We start from the raw sequence: 22,037 nt of genomic DNA, 5'->3' as shown, positions 1-22,037 counted from the left end.
GGGATTTCTAGCAGAAGTCCCTTTCTTACTATGTATGAAGTATATATATATACATTTGTTAGTGCATTTTATGGTTGTCTTGTTGTTGTTTTTTATTTTGAGACAGGGTCTCACTCTGTCTCCCAGGCTGGAGTGCAGTAGCAGGGTCATAGCTTACTGTAACCTTGAACTCCTGGCCCAAATAATCCTTCTGCTTCAGCTTCTTGAGTAGGTAGGACTACAGGCATATACCATCGTGCCTGGCTTATGTGTTTTTTGTTTGTTTGTTTGTTTTTGAGACAGAGTCTCGCTCTGTCACCCATGCTGGAATGCAGTGGTGCAATCTCAGCTCACTGCAACCTCCGCCTCCTGAGTTCAAGTGATTCTCCTGCCTCAGCCTCCTGAGTAGCTGGGATTACAGGCACACGCCACCATGCCTGGCTAATTTTTGTATTTTTAGTAGAGATGGGGTTTCACTATATTGGCCAGGCTGGTCTCGAACTCCTGACCTCGTGATCCGCCTGCCTCAGCCTCCCAAAGTGCTGGGATTTGAGCCACCACGCCTGGCCTTATTTTTTATTTTTTGTAGAGACAGCATCTTGCTATGTTTCCCAGGCATGATGATACATACACGCTTGTAGTTCTAGCTACCTAAGAGGTCTCAAACTCCTGGCCTCAAGCCATCCTCTCACCTCAGTCTTTCAAAGGAGTGGGATTACAAGTATGAGCCACTGTGCCCACCCTACATTTTATGCTTCTTAAGCAATTGGTTCACTACCTAAAGTACATTATGAAGTTTGTAACTGACAAAGTTACTGGAAAACTTAGATTTGTAACCTTCCCCAAAAGTATGTTGTCAAAAGACAATATTATAACAATTTTATTTTAAAGGTCTTTTAAAAATAATTAATTTTTTATGGTTTTTTTGAGAGGGTGTGTTATTTTTTATTTTTTTTTGTGGAGACAGAGTCTCACTGTATTGCCTAGGTGGGTCTCATTGTGTTCCCCAGGCGGGTCTCACCGTGTTGCCCAGGCTGGTCTTGAACTCCTGGCGTCAAGTGATCTTCCTGCATCCAGCCTCCCAAAGGGTTGAGATTACAGGCATGAGCCACTGTGCTCAGCCAATTTTAAAGATCTTAATTGGCTTTTATTATCAATTGCAGAATCAGGCAACACCTCATTCTGTGTTCCAATGAGCTGAGCAGAGGAGGTTGACTTTATAGACAGAAAAGGACTGAGGAAAGCAGAAATAACAAAAAGCAGATTGGGACTGGACACAGTGGCTCATTCCTATAATCCCAGCACTTTGGGGAGGCCAAGGTGGGAGGATAGCTTGAGGCCAGGAGTTCAAGACCAGCCTGGCCAACACAGCAAGACCTCATCTCTAACAAAAACTGAAAAATAATTAGCCAGGCATGGTGGTGCATGCTTGTAGGCCCAGCTACTTGGGAAGCTGAAGTGAGGTGGAAGGATTGCTTAAGCTCAGGAATTAGATGTTGCGATGAGCTATGACCATGCCACTGCACTTAAGCCTGGTTGACAGAGCAGTACCTTATCTGAAAGAAAAAAAAAAAAGTGGATTGGTCGTTTCAAAATTACTTTCTTTGCAAGGGTTAAAGTAGACAGTACTTTTTTATCATGCCGGCTAACACTAGCCTATTGGGGATTTGGCTGTTATCTCTCTCCTGATTTCTTGGAAGGTCAGATAAACAACTTAGTTTTGGCTTAGTGGCATGGAACTTCAACATGAGTGAATCCATTTTGGTTTGATATGTTGAGCCTAGTGAAGGAGCTCTGTCCAAAACAATGGCCACCTATAAGTTTAATTTAACAACACGTTTACCTGCATTAAGAATATATTATTTGGCCAGACTTGGTGGCCCATGCCTGTAATCCCAGCACTTTGGGAGGCAAAGGCAGGCAGGTCACGAGCTCAAGAGATCGAGACCATCCTGGCCCATCTTTACTAAAAATACAAAAATTAGTTGGGCATGGTGGTGCGTGCCTGTAGTCCCAGCTACTTGGGAGGCTGAGGCAGGAGAATCACTTGAACCCAGAAGACAGAGGTTGCAGTGAGCCGAGATCACACTACTGCCTTCCAGCCTGGTGACAGAGCAAGACTCCATCTCAAAAAAAAAAAAAAAAACAAGAATACATTATTTGTTATTTCACTCTGTTTCCACCTTTGTTTTTCCCTCCTTTGTTTCACATTTATGTTCTGTTGTTATTTAACATATTATTTCATTCTGTCTTAAATTCTTTCTGAAACAATTTAGCATATAAATGTGTAAACTTGAAGGTTGTAGCATTACCTACAGAAGTGTAACTGGCAAACAAAACAAGGTCAGTTCTTTTTTCCATAGTCTTTTTTTTTTTTTTTTTTTTTTGGACAGGGTCTCGCTTTGTCACCTAGCAGTGTAGTGGTGTAATCACAGCTCACTGCAGCCTCGACCTCCTGGGCGCAAGGAATCTTCCAGCCTCAGCCACCCAAGTAGCTGAGACTACAAGTACGTGCAACTATGCCTTATTTTTTATTTTTTATTTTTTATATTATTTATTTATTTATTTTAAATTTTTTTATTGTTATTGAGACAGGGTCTCACTATTTTGCCTAGGCTGGTCTTGAACTCCTGAGCTCAAGGGATCCTCCCACCTCAGCCTCCCAAAGTGCTAGGATTACAATTGTGAGCCACTGCGCCTGGACAATAGTCATTATTCAATAGAAAAAAACCATAGTGACATTAGTAAGTTTTAATGTAAAAAGTTATTGAAGATAACTTGACTTTTTAGGGTAGTGAACTTCTGTGTGTTTAACACACTTTTTCTGGAACTTTCATTCCCCATTCATATGTTTAACATACTTCTTTGTCCCATGTGTGTACTTCCGGACTACCTAGCTATTCAAGCTGGATACAGTTCCCCATCCACCTAATCAGAGTTAATTTGTCCAAGGGTGGACATATAATTTATTTGGGCCAATGAGAACCTTCCCTGATAATTTTGCATTTGCGACTGAAAGATTATGGTTAAAGCTATAATATGTGCAGCTCTCTAGCTCTAGGCAGCTATGTTTTTCTTTATGTGGAAAAAGCCATTCTACAGTGAGGAAAGATTAGGCTAGCCCATGGAAACAGATGTGATTTTAGAATAAAACCTGCCCTAGTCCCAACTGTATCTTTGTCCACCTTCTTGTCTTTGTATAATTCTTTTAAATAAGGTACTCCAGTGTTGTTTTAGTAAATTCCTCTTTTTGCTAAGCCAGTTCAAGAGTTTCGGTCACCAGAAGAGTCCTTACTAACAGTTATTTATGGGTAAGGTTGGTAGTAGGAAGTACATGTGGGTAAGGAATCCATATGCTATCCTAAGCTGCCTAAACCTGGGAGGCTGCTCAAATATAGAAAGCTTTTATTTCTTGAACTAAATTATGAAGATATGCAAGTTGATGAGTAGTTAAGAATATGTAACAATTTTTATTAAAGCCATTTTCTCCAACCTTAGAATGTTTCAGGTTTTTCTGTTGTTTAATATTCTCATTTCAATCCGGTGCCTAAGCTTTTATAGGAGGTAATAAAATCAGAGATAATAATGCCAGGCTCTATTTGGTCATTTAGATGAAAGGAAGCCCTTGGAATAGAACAAAGTTGTGTGCAGCGTACATTGTATCATGTGACTAAATGTTAGCTAAGTCTCTAGGGACAAAGCTTTTATCACTGGCAGAGTGTAGCAGCCAGAGCTTTCCTCTTCTCTTGCAATCAGCACTTTGTGTTTAATGTTTAAAAATCTTTGGCAAACACAACAGAAGAAAGGTTGTAGATGTTACCTTTAATTGGACTTTAAAAATTAATACAGCATAACAGTGTTCTGGTTTTTGCCCTTTTGCCATTGACCAGATGAAGAGAAGCCAGAATACTTTCTCAGCTCTATCTTGTTCTTTAAAAAGGCAGTGGTATTAAGAAGAAATTATTTGCTCTTAATGGTACTTTGGCTAGATGCATTTTTGAATTTTGTTTTTTTGTATACATAATCTATGTACAATAATATTTAATGGTTTTATATAGGAGAGAGATTATTCAATTAAACATAACAGGTGATCACTAGACCTCATTTCTACCAGTCTCAATTTCTTCAAACAAAGATTCTAGATGCAGGAAAACTGACCAGTTTTTTTTTTTTTTTTTTTTAAGACAGGGTCTCACTCTTGTCGCCCAGGCTGGAGTGCAGTGGCGCAATCTCAGCTCACTGCAACCTCTGCCTCCTGGGTTCAAGCAATTCTCCTGCCTCAGCCTCCTGCATAGCTGGGATTACAGGCGCCTGCCACCACGCGTGGCTAATTTTTGTATTTTTAGTAGAGACAGGGTTTCACCATGTTGGCCAGGCTGGTCTCGAACTCCTGACCTCAAGTGATCTGCTGGCTTCAGCCTTCCAAAGTGCTAGGATTACAGGCGTGAGCCACCATGCCCGGCCGCATATTTGATTTTTATCTGCTCTTCTAAGCCCTTGCCACCTTCTTATGGAGGTACAAATGAAACACTAAAACAGACAATAACAACTAGTCTTGATAATCTTCAAAGTGAAATGTTAACTTTCCAGTTTTTCAGTTAACTAAAATTAACTAAAAGTTAAAACACATATTTTCTCTATCTTCAGAATTAGGTTGCTGCCACTAGAAGGTAAATGAGCGTCTTGAGAAAAAATGACTTTTGACTTCTCTTTGGGATTAATGTTCCAAGCCACCAGCCTATGCCATATGCTCTTTCATTAAGAAAGTTTCTCCACCACTTGGGTGCTCTCATGATTTCCACCAAGACAGAAGAGGCCACAAAATGAACTTCTCTTTTCCCAATATATCTGCACTAGTATTAGTATTCCTTTGGTGGTACCAGTTCAGTCTGTTCAGAGATCCCCATCTGCTGGTCAAGCCCCCCACACAATAAAAAATAACAGTACAACCACAAAATACAACATTAGAAAGCTTAATTGTAATAATACAAATAAACAATATAGCATAACAAATTACATAGCATTTACATTGTATTAGATATTAAATGTAGAGATAAAGTGTATGAGAGGATGTAAAAAAGTTACATGCAAATAGTAAACTATTTTATATAAGGAACTTGGACATCCATGGATTTTGGTATCCTTGAGGGTCCTGGAACCCAGCAGATCCTGAAGGATGAGTGGATTCTACAGATTCCTTTCTGTTGTTTATAAGCCATCACTCCTCTATTCTTTACTAAAAATAATTTCCAAAGACACAACTATCTTTCAACAATATGACTATTTTTTCATGGGGTCACCTTATACCAATCTCCAAGTTACTCCTTTGTGTTAAATATAAAGCTTCATACTGGATAGTCTTTCCCCCTAATCTCATATCATGGTATTTTTCTATAATAGATGCCATCACTGGGTCTAATGGAGATGGGCTCCTGGTTGGGGCTGCCTTGCCAGAGTTTTTCTTTTCTTTTCTTTTCTTTTTGAGACCGAGTCTCACTCCGTCACCCAGGCTGGAGTGCAGTGCTGGGATCTTGGCTCACTGCAACCTCTGCCTCCCAGGTTCAAGGGGTTCTTGTGCCTCAGCCTCCCGAGTAGCTGGGTTTACAGGCATATACCACATGCCACACACCCGGATAACTTTTGTATTTTTAGTAGAGTCAGGAGTCTTACCATGTTAGCTGGTCTCAAACTCCTGACCTCAAGTGATCTACCTGCCTCAGCGTCCCAAAGTGCTGTAATTATAGGCGTGAGCCACCACACCCTGCAAGCCAGAGTAATTTTTATCAATGCTACTACTGCACCCTTGGGTTTAAGTCTTCCTTGTGTACTTGTACCACGGAGAATGTTTCTTTCATGTCCTTCTCTCAGTAGTAGACTTTTTTTTCTTGTTACTTGATGCTTGCTAGTCTGGTAGTGGGTACCAAGGTAGATATGGTATTGTCCTGGTTTGACTTCAGCCTTAGGTAGGCCCTTGTGTACCTGAGACTTGGGGGTGGGAATTTCTCGGTGATTCTGCTACTTGGTAGCCCTTAGGAGATCTCTAATGTTATAGATCTGGGATAGTTTGTTGCCTTTCTCTGAGTGGCTTAAGGCTTATGTTCTGTCAAGAGAAGGATCAGCGTGTTCCTGCAGCAGTGACCACTCGCCTCTTCCGAGCCTATACCATAGAAGGAAGCTTTCTCCAGTCTCCCCCGCTGCCCCCAGTCTATCTTGTGAGCACTCAGTAAAGGTTCATATGTATAAATTCCCCATGAATCTATAGTTCACAGGGTTTTTATATTTTTACAGTAGCCCACATTTGGACTTTAGTAGTTTGTTAAAAACTTTAGCTGGTTTCCTCTTACTCATTTCTTCTATGTTCTTTTAGTGTCCTATCCAAAGTAAGTCAGTGCTCAGATCATGTATCTCCTTAGAGGCATTTGTTTCTCCTTAGGTTCCAGGTTGGTTTGTTTCCCTGTGAATTTAGCTCTAGTAAGTGTAAGGAAAGTTACGATTTGTACATTGTTTGGTCTTTTCTTGTTAGTTTGGGAGAGATGTTTTTTTCCTAGCTCTGTACATCCTGAGTGAAATCTGCTTTAAAAAAAAATAAAAAGACAATTTATTTAATCATTATCTCTGCTTTCTTACCTTTCATTGTATTCTACTCTTTTATAGTGTGGCTTATGACACTCTCAGATCTGCCAGAATGTTAACGATAACCTCCTTGTTTGAAATCTAATGGACCTTTTCAAGTTTTGTCTAGTCTACCTCTCTGGTACATGTGACACTGTTAATCATTCCCACCTACTTTTAAATTGATAACGCATTATGCTGCTTTTATTTCTTCCTCTTGCTGTTCTTCTTAGTTTTTAATCTTCTATTTTAAAACAGAAAACCAAATAATATGTTACTTATTTCATATTATTGAAGTAATTTAATTTCTGTTAATACAAATCTTAAAAACATAAGAGAATAAAGAAAAAAATCACTCGTAGTGCTACCATTCAGAGATGACAACTATGAACCTTCTGTCTAAATGACCCATGGTTTTACTAAGTATTTCACATAAAGACATTTAAAAATCTTGCATTTTGGCCGAGCTTGGTGGCTCACGCCTGTAATCCCAACACTTTGGGAGGCCGAGGTGGGCAGATCACCTGATGTCAGGAGTTCAAGGCCAACACGGTAAAACTGCATCTCTACTAAAAATACAAAAATTAGCTGGGCATGGTAGCAGGTGCCTATAATCCCAGCTACTTGGGAGGCTGAGGCAGGAGAATCACTTGAACCCGGGAGGCGGAGGTTACAGTGAGCCAAGATCGCACCATTGCCCTCCAGCGTGGACAACAAGAGTGAAACTCTGTCTCAAAAAAAAAAAAAAAAAAAATCATGCATTTTGGCTAGCCACAGTGGTTCACTCCTGTAATCCCAGCACTTTGGAAGGCCAAGGCAGACGGATCATTTGAGGTCAGGAGTTAAGAGACCAGCCTGGCTAACGTGGTGAAACTCCATCTGTACTAAAAATACAAAAATTAGCCAGGCGTGGTGGAACACACCTGTAATCCCAACTACTTGAGAGGCTGAGGTGGGAGATTCGTCTGGACCCAGAAGGTGGAGGTTGCAGTGAGCCAAGATCACACCACTGCACTCCAGCCTGTGCAACAGAGTGAGACTAAGTAACAAATGGATAAATAAAAATTTAAAAATAAGTTATGCATTTCATACTTTCATACCTGGATTGTTTTTCACTAAAGTTTATTTCACATGACATTTTTCTGAACTATACAGCTCTTAAAAATTAAAACACTCATCATGCAAATGTATCATGTTTTATTGGAACAGTCATATAATTGGAATTATAGATTATTTCTAATTTTTCCTGAGATAATTTAGTAAACATTTTTCTATAGATAAGCATTACTTACATATCTCTGATTTTATTAGTTTTCTAAAAGTGACAGTATTGAGTCAAATAGTATTATATAGTTTTAAAATGTGCTTTTCTGGTTTTTTAAACTACATAATGGATAGTGGTTGATGGAGTTTTTTTGTAACTATTGAGATATAATTCACAAACCATTCAGTTCACCCATTTAAAGTATAAAATGTAATGGTATTTAGTGTATTCACAGAGTTGTGCAGCCATAACTACAATCAATTTTAGAACATTTTCATTACCTCCAAAAAGAAACACCCTACCCATATTCACCTCAACCCCCTGCCACCCTCTATCCATAGGCAATTACTAAGTTACTTTGTATCTCCATGGATTTGCTTATTCTGGACATTTCATATAAATGAAATTATATAATATGTTGTTATTTGTTTGTTGAAACTTACAGATCACTTTTAGAATTGTCATCTTTACTAAGTTGAGTCTTCCATTTTATGAACATGGTATGTCTCTATTTAGGTCTTCTTTGATTTTTTTCATCAGTGCTTTTTAGTTTTCAGCATACATATTAGTACCTGTTTGGCTACACTAATACCTGTATATTTTAAAATAACTATTTAAATGGCATTATTATTTTTATTATTGTCATCATCATTTTAGAGACAAGTTCTCACTCTGTCACCCAGGCTGAAGTACAATGATGAGATCATAGCCTACTGCAGCCTCAAACTCTGGGTTCAAGTGACCTCCCCACCTCAGCCTTCCAAGTAAGCTAGGACTACAGATGCAGGCCACCATGCCTGGCTAATTTTTTAATTTTTTTGTAGAGATAGGGTCTTGCTGTATTGCCCAGACTTGTCTTGAGCTACTGGCCTTAAGTGACCCTCCCGCCTTAGCTTCTAAATGGTATTATGTTTTTAATTTCAGTTTCCAATTGTACATTGCCAGTGTACAGACATAAAATAAATTTTATTTTGTGTTGACCTGTATCCAGTGATCATGTTTGCTCACGTATTAGTTCTAGTGTTTTCTTGCTTTTTTGTCCTTTGTTTTTATAGATTTCTTCGCATTTTCTACATAGACAATCATGTCCTCTCTGAATGTACAGTTTTATTTCTTCTGCTCCAATCCTTATGGTTTTGGTTTTTGGGGGTTTTTTTCTCTTTATTGATTTGGGTAAGACTTCCTTAGGACTGGTGGTCAGAGTGTTCATGAAAAAACGAAATAAAAGGCATCTAGATTGAAAAGGAAATCCCAACAGGTTTTTTTTTTTCTTGTAGATACAGATAAGCTGATTCTAAAACTTACAAGAATGGCAAAGAAACAAGAAGAGCTTAAACTGGTTAGTACTTTTGTTGTTGTTGTTGTTGTTGTTGTTTTGAGACAGGGTCTCAGTCCTCAGTCTGTTGCCCAGGCTGGAGTGCAGTGGTGCAATCATGAGTCACTGCAGCCTCAGCTTCCTGGGCTCAAGCAATTCCCTGACCTGATTATCTGGGACTACAGATGTCAGTCACCATGCCCAGCATTTTTGTTTGTTTGTTTGTTTGAGATGGAGTCTTGCTCTGACACCCAGGCAGGAGTGCAGTGGCGCGATCTCGGCTCACCGCAAGCTCCGCCTCCCAGGTTCACACCATTCTCCTACCTCAGCTTCCCGAGTAGCTGGGACTACAGGCGCCCGCCACCAGGCCCGGCTAATTTTTTTGTATTTTTAGTAGAGACGGGGTTTCACCGCGTTAGCCAGGATGGTCTCGATCTTCTGACCTCGTGATCCGCCCGCCTTGGCCTCCCAAAGTGCTAGGATTACAGACGTGAGCCACCGCGCCCGGCCTTTTTTTTTTTTTTTTTCTTTTGATAGCAACAGCATCTCACTATGTTGCCCAGGCTGCATTTTGTACATCTTTATCTAATTACCTTTTTTTTTTTTTTTTTTTTCCAAGACAGGGTTTTGCTCTGTCACCCAGGCTGGAATGCAGTGGCGCAGTCTTGGCTCACTGCAGCCTCCACCTCCCCGGTTCAAGTGATTCTCATACCCTAGCCACCTGAGTAGCTGGGATTACAACCACGTCCAGCTAATTTTTATATTTTTTGTAGAGATGGTGTTTTGACATGTTGGCCAGGCTGGTCTTGAACTCCTGGCCTTGGGTGATCTCCCTGCCTCTGCCTCCCAAAGTGGGATTACAGGCGTCAACCACCATGCCTGGCCAAGTCTCCATTATTAGGAGGAAGACAATTAGTCCTTAACTATAGGTATTGTTAGCTATAGATCATCTCTAAATTCCCTTTACTGAGTTTGGTAAGTTCCTTCTATTCTTAGTTTACTGACTTTTTATTATGGAAATAACCTGTGTTTTGTCAAATGCTTTTCTGCATCAATTGGTATGATCATGTGGATTTTTTTCTTTAGACTGTTGGTAGACTGATGATTATATTGATTGATTTTTAAATAAACTAGCCTTGCATTCCCTAATAAACCCCACTTGGTCATGTTTATTATTCCTTTTATATATTTCTGGATATGACTTGCAATATTTTGTTGAGGATTTCTTTTTCTTTTTTTTTTTTTTTTTTGAGATGGAGTCTTGCTCTGTCACCTGGGCTGGAGTGCAGTGGCACTGCAAGCTCCATCTCCCGGGTTCACGCCATTCTCCTGCCTCAGCCTCCCACATGGCTGGGACTACAGGTGCCTGCCACCACACCTGGCTAATTTTTTGTATTTTTAGTAGAGACGGGGTTTCACCGTGTTAGCCAGGATGGTCTCGATCTCCTGACCTCATGATCCGCCCACCTCAGCCTCCCAAAGTGCTGGGATTACAGGCGTGAGCCACCGCGCCTGGCTGAGGATTTTTCTGTGTATGTTTATGAGAGGTATTGGTCTGCAGTTTTCTTTTATTTTAATGACTTTGACTGGTTTTGGCACCTCCAGTGTATGGGATCTGCCGAGTCATATTGCCTAAGTAACACGACTGTTATCTAAGAGCCTCAACCTGTTGTAGAGCTCTTTATGCTCTCTGCCCCACTCAAAAGAGGCAACCTTCCACATCTACTGATAGTGGGTCAGAGCAGTATTCTCAAATACTGCATCTGTTCTGAAGAAGTTTACCACATTTTATACATTTTCATTAGTGTTGGAAGTACAAAGTGCAATACATTTTTCTAATTTGGAGAAGAGATCCAGCATGTTCTATGCTACTGGACCCCTGAAACCCTTATCATTGGGGCAGGATTCTCTATCTTTGTGTTTTGTCTCTTGCTGCTTGGAGTACATTTTTTTCTGCTAAGTTATCCAGTATATTTGGTACTTTTGGTGAATAAGGCTTGATGAATATGATGCCATCAACATAGTGGACCAATATCATGTTACATGAAATGTTCAGATAGTTCAGGTCCCTTTTGACTATATTGTGATGGCAGAATTAACATAGTCTGGGGAGCAGGACCATGACAGTATATGTCAAGTAGGCAAACTATGCTTCACATGCCAAATCTGGCCTGTGACCTCTTTTTATGCAGCTCATGAGCTAAGAATTTTTTTAAAAACCTTCTAAATGTTTGAAAAAAATCAGAATAGTATTTTCTGGTATGTGAAAATTTTGTAAAGTTTAAATGTCCATAAATAAAATTTTATTAGAACACATTCATGCCCATTTGTTTATATATTGTCTATGGTGGTTTTTTGCTACAATGGGCAAAGTAGTTGTGATGGAGACTATGTTGACATTCTTCTCAATTTGCACTCTTCCACAGCACACTACAAGTCTCAGTGATGTAGTCATAACTTAATAACATATCAAGAGTCACACATACCATTGTCATGTGATGTTTTAAAAAATCACCAGTGAATATGCATTATGTTAAATCAAGAAAAGAGAAAGTGGATTTGAGTGTTACACTTTTAAGACACAATGGACTGTGGATAATTTTTTATTGAGTTAGATGACAAAGTATTGTATTTATTATGTGGTGACATTATAGCTATGCTAAAATAATATATGTCAATTTTATCAGACTAAGCTCTCAGCACAATGTTTTCAACTCATAGAAAGTAATGGTCAGAAAAGGTAGAAAACGTAAGATGGGATATCTCATGAAACATAATTTAGTCACGTACACAGACACAAAAATGGGCCGGGTGTGGTGGCTCACACCTGTAATCCCAACACTTTGAGAGACTGAGACAGGTGGATCACTTGAATCCAGGAGTTTGAGACCAGCCTGGGCAACACGGCAAAAGCCCATCTCTATAAAAAATACAGAAAAATAAGTTAGCCAGGCATAGTGGCATGTGCCTGTAATCCCAGCTACTTGAGAGACTGAGGTGGGAGGATCACTTGAACCCAGGAGGTGGAGGTTGCAGTGAGGCAAGATTGAGCCACTGCTCTCCAGCCTGGGTGACAGAGTGAGACCGTGTCTCAAAACAAAACAAAACGAAAAAATGTAAATGAGGCTACACCAAAGTAAGTTTCTAAGTGGTACTTTTGTTAGCCAGGCAAGGAAAATCATTTACTGATAGTGAGTTAATTAAATTGTGTTTGGTTGTAGTGGCTGAAGATATGTATCCTAAGAAAATTAACATTTAAAAGATTGTTTGCCTTTCCATAAGGAAAACTGAGGACACTGGGAACACCACCAGTGGTCAATTATAAAACAAGGCAAAAAAGAAAAAGGCAGTCGATTTTCTTGACTCTTGAATAGTCTCTTTGAGACAACTACAGGCAAAATGTATAAAAAACATTAACTTAGTATAACCTGAAGTGGAATCTGCTAAGATGTATTAAAACTGTCAGTGGTAAAGATTTATGTGGAACAGAAAAAGACTTAGTTGGACAAAGTTATAAAAGCCATAGTTAAAGCCATAGTTTTTCATTGTATTATTTATCAGCAGGTATTTTGTGGAAAATATTTGAAACTCTTTTTTTGTGTTATTGAACCAGTAGTGTTAACAGTGAACTTCACTGCTTTTGCAAGTTAAATATCATTTGTTCTGTGAATTTTTGTCCAAAAGAGATGCCGGCTATCCTGAATTTATTTACCACACAAAAGTTCAATGACTTTGCAATTGTAAAGTTTTATTTTGAATTTTTGAGCTCAGGGCCAAGACTGAAACTTTTCTAAGTAAGAAGAATCTCTCTCAACCAATATGTTAGAAAATTAATGACTTTGAAATTTATTTTTTGCTGCAGACTTAATAATTTTTTTAATTAATTCAATAGCAAATCACAGTTATGTGCTGCAGTAGAGTCATTTCAATGTTAACTCACATTGTTTGAATCAGAACAAGAAGTGGGATCTATAATTTTCATATGAATTTGGAGTGAGTATATTTTCCAAGCTCAACCTACAGTTCCAGCAAGAGTTTTTGGAACTTGATTCAAGTGCAAAGGAAATTTCCATGTTTTAAAATCCATTTAACTTTGTGGTTGAGGAGCTTCCACCTAACCGTCAATTGAAAGTGATTAATATACAATGTAATGAAATGTTAAACTGCAATTATCAAGAAAAGAATCTAATATAATTCTATGAATGCCTTCCAATTGATGAATATGCTCAATTAATATCATATGCTCATGACTGATGTCAGTATTTGGTAATATGTATCATCTTTGTTAAGGACATTTTCAAAGATTAAATGTGTAAAATCTCATTACAGATTAGCTTTAACAGGTGTACCTTACAATTAATTTTAGTAATTGGGAACACTAACTTTGTACCCCCATTTTAGCAAAATGTTATCTCCACACAAAAAGGATTCTCTTCTTATTAGGAGACTTGTATTTTCAAAAAAATTATACTAAAATAATATGTTTTGAACTTCATCAATAAAAAGTTTGGGAAATGTGCATTTTTTGGATAATGCAAATAAGTGCCTTTATCATATCCTCCATTTTGCCGCTTGACTCACTAAGCTTAAAATATTTACTATCTGGCCTGTACAGATAAAGCTTTGACAATCCCGCTATATATTATTTTTCTATATATATTAGATTATATTGTTTTTTCAATGCATACTTCCTCTGATTCACCTTTCTTGTGAATAGATATTGAAAAGAATGCAATCTCCAAATCAATAGATACACACCATGTACCAAAGGCCGTGTTAATTTGCTAATTATGATTTCTTTACTAAATACCACATCTGGCACAACAGCTACATTCAGTATTACTGTTTGGCTAAAATTACGGTAGTTCATTGTTTTCTGCCATAATTCATCCAGTTTTTGTAGAAATCTGACTTGTGAATTAAATGGGGATGAGATGAGGACTACCTGCCTATATTATTCACAATTCTCCAGAGAAACAAAACCAATAAGATGTGCATCTATAAAGAGATTTATTTTAAGGAATTAGCTCCTGTGATTGTGGAGACTTGGCCAGTCTAAAATCTGATTGAGGAGCCCAATAGGCTGGAGATACAAGAAAGAGTTGTAACGGGAGTCTACTGTAGATTCAGGAAGAATTGATGTGCAAATGAGGTCTGAAAGCCGTAGGAGAGAGAATTCCTCTTGCTTCAGGGAAATCAAGTTTTTGTTCTATTCAGGCCTTCTCCTGATTGGACAAGACCCACCCACATTATGGAGGGCAACCTACATTACTCAGAGCTCACAAATTTGAATGTAAATCTCATTCAGTAACTCTCTCAGAAACATCCTGAATAGTGTTTGATGAAATGTCTAGGCATCATGGCCCAGACAAGTTGACATATAAAATTAACCATTAATCCTATATCCTTTACATTTCTGAAGGTATGTCTGATCTCTGCATATCCTTTAGGGATACAATGCTATTTTTTACTTACTATCTTGGGAATGGATGGGACATTTTTAGGAACTTTACTAATGAATTATATTTGCTTTGACTCCACATGTCAGGGCACCAAGGTAAGGGTTCTACCAACCGCTAATATGTCCATTCTAGTTTTGTTGTTTGTTTTTATTATACTTTAAGTTTTGGTATACATGTGCAGAACGTGCAGGTTTGTTACATAGGTATACACGTGCCATGGTGGTTTGCTGCACCCATCAACTCGTCATCTACATTAGGTATTTCTCCTAATGCTAGCCCTCTCCTAGCCCCCCACCCGGTGACAGGCCCCAGTGTGTGATGTTCCCCTTGCTGTGTCCATGTGTTCTCATTGTTCAACTCCCACTTATGAGTGAGAACATGCGGTGTTTGGTTTTCTGTGCCTGTGTTAGTTTGCTGAGAATGATGGTTTCTAGCTTCATCCATGTCCCTGCAAAGGACATGAACTCATCCTTTCTTACGGCTGCATAGTATTCCATGGTGTATATGTGCCACATTTTCTTTATCCAGTCTATCACTGATGGGCATTTGGGTTGGTTCCAAGTCTTTGCTATCGTGAACAGGGCTGCAATAAACATACGTGTGCATGTGTCTTTATAGTAGAATGATATGTAATCCTTTGAGTATATACCCAGTAATGGGATTGCTGGATCAAATGGTATTTCTGGTTCTAGATCCTTGAGGAATCGCCACACTGTCTTCCACAATGGTTTAACTAATTTACAGTCCCACCAGCAGTGTAAAAACATTCCTATTTCTCTACATCCTCTCCAGCATCTGTTGTTTCCTGACTTTTTAATGATCGCCATTCTAACTGGCATGAGATGGTATCTCATTGTGGTTTTGATTTACATTTCTCTAATGATCAGTGATGATGAGCTTTTTTTCATATGTTTGTTGGCCACATAAATGTCCTCTTTTGAGAAGTGTCTGTTCATATCCTTCGCCCACTTTTTGATGGGGTTGTTTGTTTTTTTTCTTGTAAATTTGTTTAAGTTCTTTGTAGATTCTGGATATTAGCCCTTTGTCAGATGGATAGATTCCAACAATTTTCTCCCATTCTTTAGGTTGCCTATTCACTCTGTTGATAGTTTCTTTTGCTGTGCAAAAGCTCTTTAGTTTAATTAGATCCCATTTGTCAGTTTTGGCTTTTGTTGCCATTGCTTTTGGTGTTTTAGTCATGAAGTCTTTGCCCATGCCTGTGTCCTGAACGGTATTGCCTAGGTTTGCTTCTAGGGTTTTATGGTTTTAGGTCTTACATTTAAGTCTTTAATCCATCTTGAGTTAATTTTTTGTATAAGGTGTAAGTAGGAAGGGATCCAGTTTCTGTTTTCTGCATGTGGCTATCCAGTTTTCCCACCATTTATTAAATAGGGAATCATTTCCCCATTGCTGGTTTTTATCAGGTTTGTCAAAGATCAGATGGTTGTAGATGTGTGGCATTTCTGAGGCCGCTGTTCTGCTCCATTGGTCTTATATATCTGTTTTGGTACCAGTACCATGCTGTTTTGGTTACTGTAGCCTTGTAGTATAGTTTGAAGTCAGGTAGCATGATGCCTCCAGCTTTGTTCTTCTTGCTTAGGATTGTCTTGGCTATATGGGCTCTTTTTTGGTTCATATGAAATTTAATGTAGTTTTTTTCTAATTCTGTGAAGAAAGTCAATGGTAGCTTGATGGGGATACCACTGAATCTATAAATTACTTTGGGCAGTATGGCCATTTTCACAATATTGATTCTTCGTATCCATGATCATGGAATGTTTTTCCATTTGTTTGTGTCCTCTCATTTCCTTGAGCAGAGGTTTGTAGTTCTCCTTGAAGAGGTCCTTCACATCCCTTGTAAGTTGGATTCCTAGGTATTTTATTCTCTTTGTAGCAATTGTGAATGGGAGTTCACTCATGATTTGGCTCTCTGTTTGTCTATTATTGGTGTATAGGAATGCTTGTGACTTTTGCACATTGATTTTGTATCCTGAGACTTTGCTGAAGTTGCTTATCAGCTTAAGGAGATTTGGGGCTGAGACGATGGGGTTTTCTAAAAAGACAATCATGTCTTCTGCAAACAGAGAGAATTTGCCTTGCTGTCTTCCTGTTTGAATACCTTTACTTCTTTCTCTTGCCTGATTACCCTGGTCAGAACTTCCAATACTATATTGAATAGGAGTGGTGAGAGAGGGCATCCCTGTCTTGTGCCAGTTTTCAAAGGGAACGCTTCCAGTTTTTGCCCATTCAGTATGATATTGGCCATGGGTTTGTCATAAATAGCACTTATTACTTTGAGATATGTTCCATCAATACCTAGTTTATTGAGAGTTTTTAGCATGAAGGGCTGTTGGATTTTGTCAAAGGCCTTTTCTGTATTCATTGAGATAATCATGTGGTTTTTGTCATTGGTTCCGTTCATGTGATGGGTTACGTTTATTGATTTGCGTATGTTGAACTGGCCCTGCATCCCAAGGATGAAGCCGACTTGATTGTGGTGGATAAGCTTTTTGATGTGCTGCTGGAGTTGGTTTGCCAGTATTTTATTCAGGATTTTCGCATCGATGTTCATCAGGGATATTGGCTTGAAATTCTTTTTTTATTGTGTCTCTGCCAGGTTTTAGAACCAGGATGATGCTGGCCTCATAAAATGAGTTAGGAGTCCCTCTTTTTCTATTGTTTGGAATAGTTTCAGAAGGAATGGTACCGGCTCCTCTTTGTACCTCTGGTAGAATTTGGCTGTGAATCCGTCTGGTCCTGGGCATTTTTTCGTTGGTAGGCTATTAATTACTGCTTCAATTTCAGAACTTGTTATTGGTCTGTTGTGGGATTCAATTTCTTCCTGGTTTAGACTTGGGAAGGTGTATGTGTCCAAGAATTTATCCATTTCTTGTAGATTTTCTAGTTTATTTGCGTAGAGGTGTTTATAGTATTCTCTGATGGTAGTTTGTATTTCTGTGGGATCAGTAGTGATATCCCTTTATCATTTTTTATTGTGTCTATTTGATTCTTCTCTCTTTTCTTTATTAGTCTGGCTAGCGGTCTATTTTGTTAATCTTTTCAAAAAACCAGGCTCTGGATTCACTGATTTTTTTTTGAAGAGGTTTTTGTGTCTCTATCTCCTTCAGTTCTGCTCTGATCTTAGTTATTTCTTGTCCTCTGCTAGCTTTTGAATTTGTTTGCTCTTGCTTCTCTAGTTCTTTTAACTTTAATGTTAGGGTGTTGATTTTAGATCTTTGCTGCTTTCTCCTGTGGACAAATTTAGTGCTATAAATTTCCCTCTTAACACTGCTTTCGCTGTATCCTAGAGATTCTGGTACATTGTGTCTTTGTTCTCATTGCTTTCAAAGAACTTATTTATTTTTGCCTTCATTTCATTATTTACCCAGTAGTCATTCAGGAGCAGTTTGTTCAGTTTCCATGTAGTTGTGCGGTTTTGAGTGACTTTCTTAATCCTGAGTTCTAATTTGATTGCACTGTGGTCTGAGAGATTGTTTTTTATGATTTCCATTCTTTTGCATTTGCTGAGGAGTGTTTTATTTCCAATTATGTGGTCAATTTTAGAATAAGTGTGATGTGATGCTGAGAAGAATGTATATTCTGTTGTTTTAGGGTGGAGAGTTCTGTAGATGTCTGTTAGGTCTGCTTGGTCCAGAGCTGAGTTAAAGTCCTGAATGTCCTTGTTAATTTTCTCTCTCATTGATCTGTCTAATATTGACAGTGGGGTGTTAAAGTCTCCCAATATTATTGTGTGGGAGTCTAAGTCTCTTTGCAGGTCTCTAAGAACTTGCTTGATGAATCTGAGTACTCCTATATTGGATGCATATATATTTAGGATAGTTAGCTCTTCTTGTTGCATTGATTCCTTTACCATTATGTAATGCCTTGTTTGTCATTTTTTATCTTTGTTGGTTTAAAGTCTGTTTTATCAGAGACTAGGATTGCAACCCCTGCTTTTTTTTGCTTTCCATTTGCTTGGTAAATATTCCTCCATTCCTTTATTTTGAGCCTATGTGTATCTTTGCATGTGCAACGGGTCCTCTGAATACGGCACACCGATTGGTCTTGACTCTTTTTCCAATTTGCCAGTCTGTGTTTTTTAATTGGGGCATGTAGCCCACTTATACTTAAGTTTAATATTGTTATGTGTGAATTTGATCCTATCATGATGATGCTAGCTGATTATTTAACCCGTTAGTTGATACAGTTTCTTCATAGTGTCTATGGTCTTTACAATTTGGTATGTTTTTGCAGTGGCTGGTACCGATTTTTCCTTTACATATTTAGTGCTTCCTTCAGGAGCTCTTATAAGGCAGGCCTGGTGGTGACAAAACCTCTCAGCATTTGCTTGTCTGTAAACAATCTTATTTCTCCTTCACTTATGAAGCTTAGTTTGGCTGGATATGAAATTCTAGGTTGAAAATTCTTTTCTTTAAGAATGTTGAATATTGGCCCCCACTCTCCTCTGGTTTGTAGGGTTTCTTCCAAGAGACCCACTGTTAGTCTGATGGGCTTCCCTTTGTGGGTAACCCAATCTTTCTCTCTGGCTGCCCTTAACATTTTTTCCTTCATTTCAACCTTGGTAAATCTGATGATTATGTGTCTTGGGATTGCTCTTCTCGAGAAGTATCTTTATGGTGTTCTGTATTTTTCCTGAATTTGAATATTGGCCTGTCTTTTTAGATTGGGGAAGTTTTCCTGGATAATATCCTGAAGAGTGTTTTTCAACTTGGTTCCATTCTCCCTGTCACTTTCAGGTACACCAATCAAACGTAGGTTTGGTTTTTTCACATAGTCCCATATTTCTTGGAGGCTTTGTTCGTTCCGTTTCTTTTTTTTTTCTCTAATCTTGTCTTCACACTTCATTTCATTAAGTTGATCTTCAATCTCTGATATTCTTTCTTCCAGTTGATTGATTCAGCTATTGATACTTGTATATGCCTCATGAAGTTCTTGTGCTGTGTTTTTCAGCTCCATCAGGTCATTTATGTTCTTCTCTAAACTGGTTATTCTAGTTAACAATTCCTCTAACCTTTTTTCAAGGTTCTTAGATTCCTTGCTTTGGGTTAGAACACGCTCCTTTAGCTCAGAGGAGTTTGTTATTACCCACCTCCTGAAACCTACTTCTGTCAATTCCTCAGACTCGTTCTCCATCTTCTGTCAATTCCTCAAACTCGTTCTCCGTCCAGTTTTGTTCCCTTGCTGGCGAGGAGCTGTGATCTTTTGGAGGAGAGGAGGTGTTCTGGTTTTGGGAATTTTTGGCTTTTTTATGCTGGTTTTTCCTCATCTTCCTGGATTTATCTACCTTTGATCTTTGATGTTGGTGACCTTCAGGTGAGGTGTCTGTGTGGATGTCCTTTTTGTCAATGTTGATGCTGTTCCTTTCTGTTTGTTAGTTTTCCTTCTAACAGTCAGGCCCCTCTGCTGCAGGTCTGCTGGTGTTTACTGGAGGTCCACTCTAGACCCTTTTTGCGTGGGTATCACCAGTGGAGGCTGCAGAACAGCAAAGATTGCTGCCTGTTCGTTCCTCTGGAAGTTTCCTCCCAGAGGGGCACCCGCTAGATGCTAGCCAGAGGTCTCCTGTATGAAGTGTCCGTTGACCCCTGCTAGGAGGTGTCTCTCAGTCAGGAGGCACAGGGGTCAGGGACCCACTTTAGGAGACAGTCTGTCCCTTAGCAGAACTCGAGCATTGTCCTGGGAGGTCTGCTGCTCTCTTCAGTGGCAGGCAGGAATGTTTAAGTCTGCTGAAGCTGTGCCCACAACCACCCCTTCCCCCAGGTGCTCTGTCCCAGGGATATGGGAGTTTTATCTATAAGCCCCTGACTGGGGCTGCTGCCTTTCTTTCAGAGATGCCCTGCCCAGAGAGGAGGAATCTAGAGATGCAGTCTGGCTACGGTGGCTTTGTGGTGCTGGTGGGCTCTGCCCAGTCCAAACTTCCCGGGGCATTGTTTACAGTGTGAAGGGAAAACCGGCTACTCAAGCCTCAGAAATGGTGGTCGCCCCTCCCCCCACCAAGCTTGAGTGTCCCAGGTTGACTTCAGACTGCTGTACTGCCAGTGAGAATTTCAAGCCAGTGGATCTTAGCTTGCTGGGCTCCATCGGGGTCGGATCCACTGAGCTAGACCACTTGGCTCCCTGGCTTCAGCCCCCTTTCCATGGGAGTGAACAGTTCTGTCTCACGGGCGTTCCAGTCACCACTGGGGCGTGAAAAAAAACTCCTGCAGCTAGCTCGGTGTCTGCCCAAATGGTCGACCAGTTTTGTGCTTGAAACCCAGGGCCCTGGTTGTGTAGGTACCCAAGGGAATCTCCTGCTCTGCGAGTTGCGAAGACTGTGGGAAAAGCATAGTATCTGGGCCAGAGTGCACTCTTCCTCACAGCACAGTCCCTCACAGCTTCCCTTGGCTAGGGGAGGGAGTTCCCCAACCCCTTGCACTTCCCAAGTGAGGCGACACCCCACCCTGCTTCCGCTCGCCCTCCATGGGCTGCACCCACTGTCTAACCAGTCCCAGTGAGATGAGCCAGGTACCTCAGTTGGAAATGCAGACATCACCCGCCTTCTACATTGATCTCCCTGGGAGCTGCAGACCGGAGCTATTCCTGTTCAGCCATCTTGCCGGCCACCCCCCGCTTTTTTTTTTTTAATACTCCACAGAAATATTCTGAGTTTTTGTTTAGGAACAGGGAAAATAATCTCTGGGTTAGTCTCTAAACACAGTGAACTTGCTGTGAGACAGGCTTGGGTTAAGACTCTTTATTATCACATCCTCCTATGTCTCTTTTGAGGCATTTTATTTTATTTTTTATTATAATTTACTATGAAACAACTTAGAGATGAAGATCTCAGAATTTCACACATCATTGGCTGGGCGCAGTGGCTCACGCCTGTAATCCCAGCTCTACAGGTAGATCATGAGGTCAGGAGATCAAGACCATCCTGACTAACATAGTGAAACCCAGTCTCTACTAAAAATACAAAAAATTAGCTGGGCATGGTAGTGGGCGCCTGTAGTCCCAGCTACTCGGGAGTCTGAGGCAAGAGAATGGTGTGAACCCGGGAAGCAGAGCTTTCAGTGAGCTGAGATCGTGCCACTGCACTCCAGCCTGGGCAACAGAGTAAGACTCCATCTCAAAAAAAAAAAAAAAAAAGAATTTCACACATTGTTTTGAATTGATGATTAATCATCCTTTCCTTTCTTCATAGTATCACGAGTGCTTAATAACAGCCATTCAATTCTGTGATACTGAAATGGCATTGTTGTCTGGGGTAAATACCTGGGGTTCGTTGTCTCACACCAAGAGGATTAAGGACAAGGACACGTGGGTGGGTTAAGGAATAGAAAGTTAAATAGGCAGAAGAAAGGAGGGAGGATAGCAGCTCACTCTCTCTTGCAAGAGAGAGGCATCT

At 39.7% G+C, this 22,037-nt stretch overlaps 1 long non-coding RNA gene across 4 annotated transcripts in view; it reads left to right on the top strand.

The window, feature by feature from the left end:
- LINC01572 (long intergenic non-protein coding RNA 1572) overlaps positions 1 to 22,037 on the top strand; it is a 384,069-nt gene that overhangs the window by 100,512 nt on the left and 261,520 nt on the right. For 2 of the 4 annotated variants that reach the window (NR_126330.2, NR_159370.1), the window contains exon 3: positions 9,133 to 9,194. The exons of the other annotated variants lie outside the window; for them this stretch is intronic. This is a non-coding gene — a long non-coding RNA (long intergenic non-protein coding RNA 1572). The remainder of the gene's footprint in view (positions 1 to 9,132; positions 9,195 to 22,037) is intronic. 4 annotated transcript variants of the gene reach the window in all.

The sequence above is a fragment of the Homo sapiens genome, chromosome 16 (genome assembly GCF_000001405.40).
Source record: "Homo sapiens chromosome 16, GRCh38.p14 Primary Assembly".
Classification (NCBI taxonomy): Eukaryota; Metazoa; Chordata; class Mammalia; order Primates; family Hominidae; genus Homo; species Homo sapiens.
This window is presented reverse-complemented; position numbering and strand designations above follow the sequence as displayed.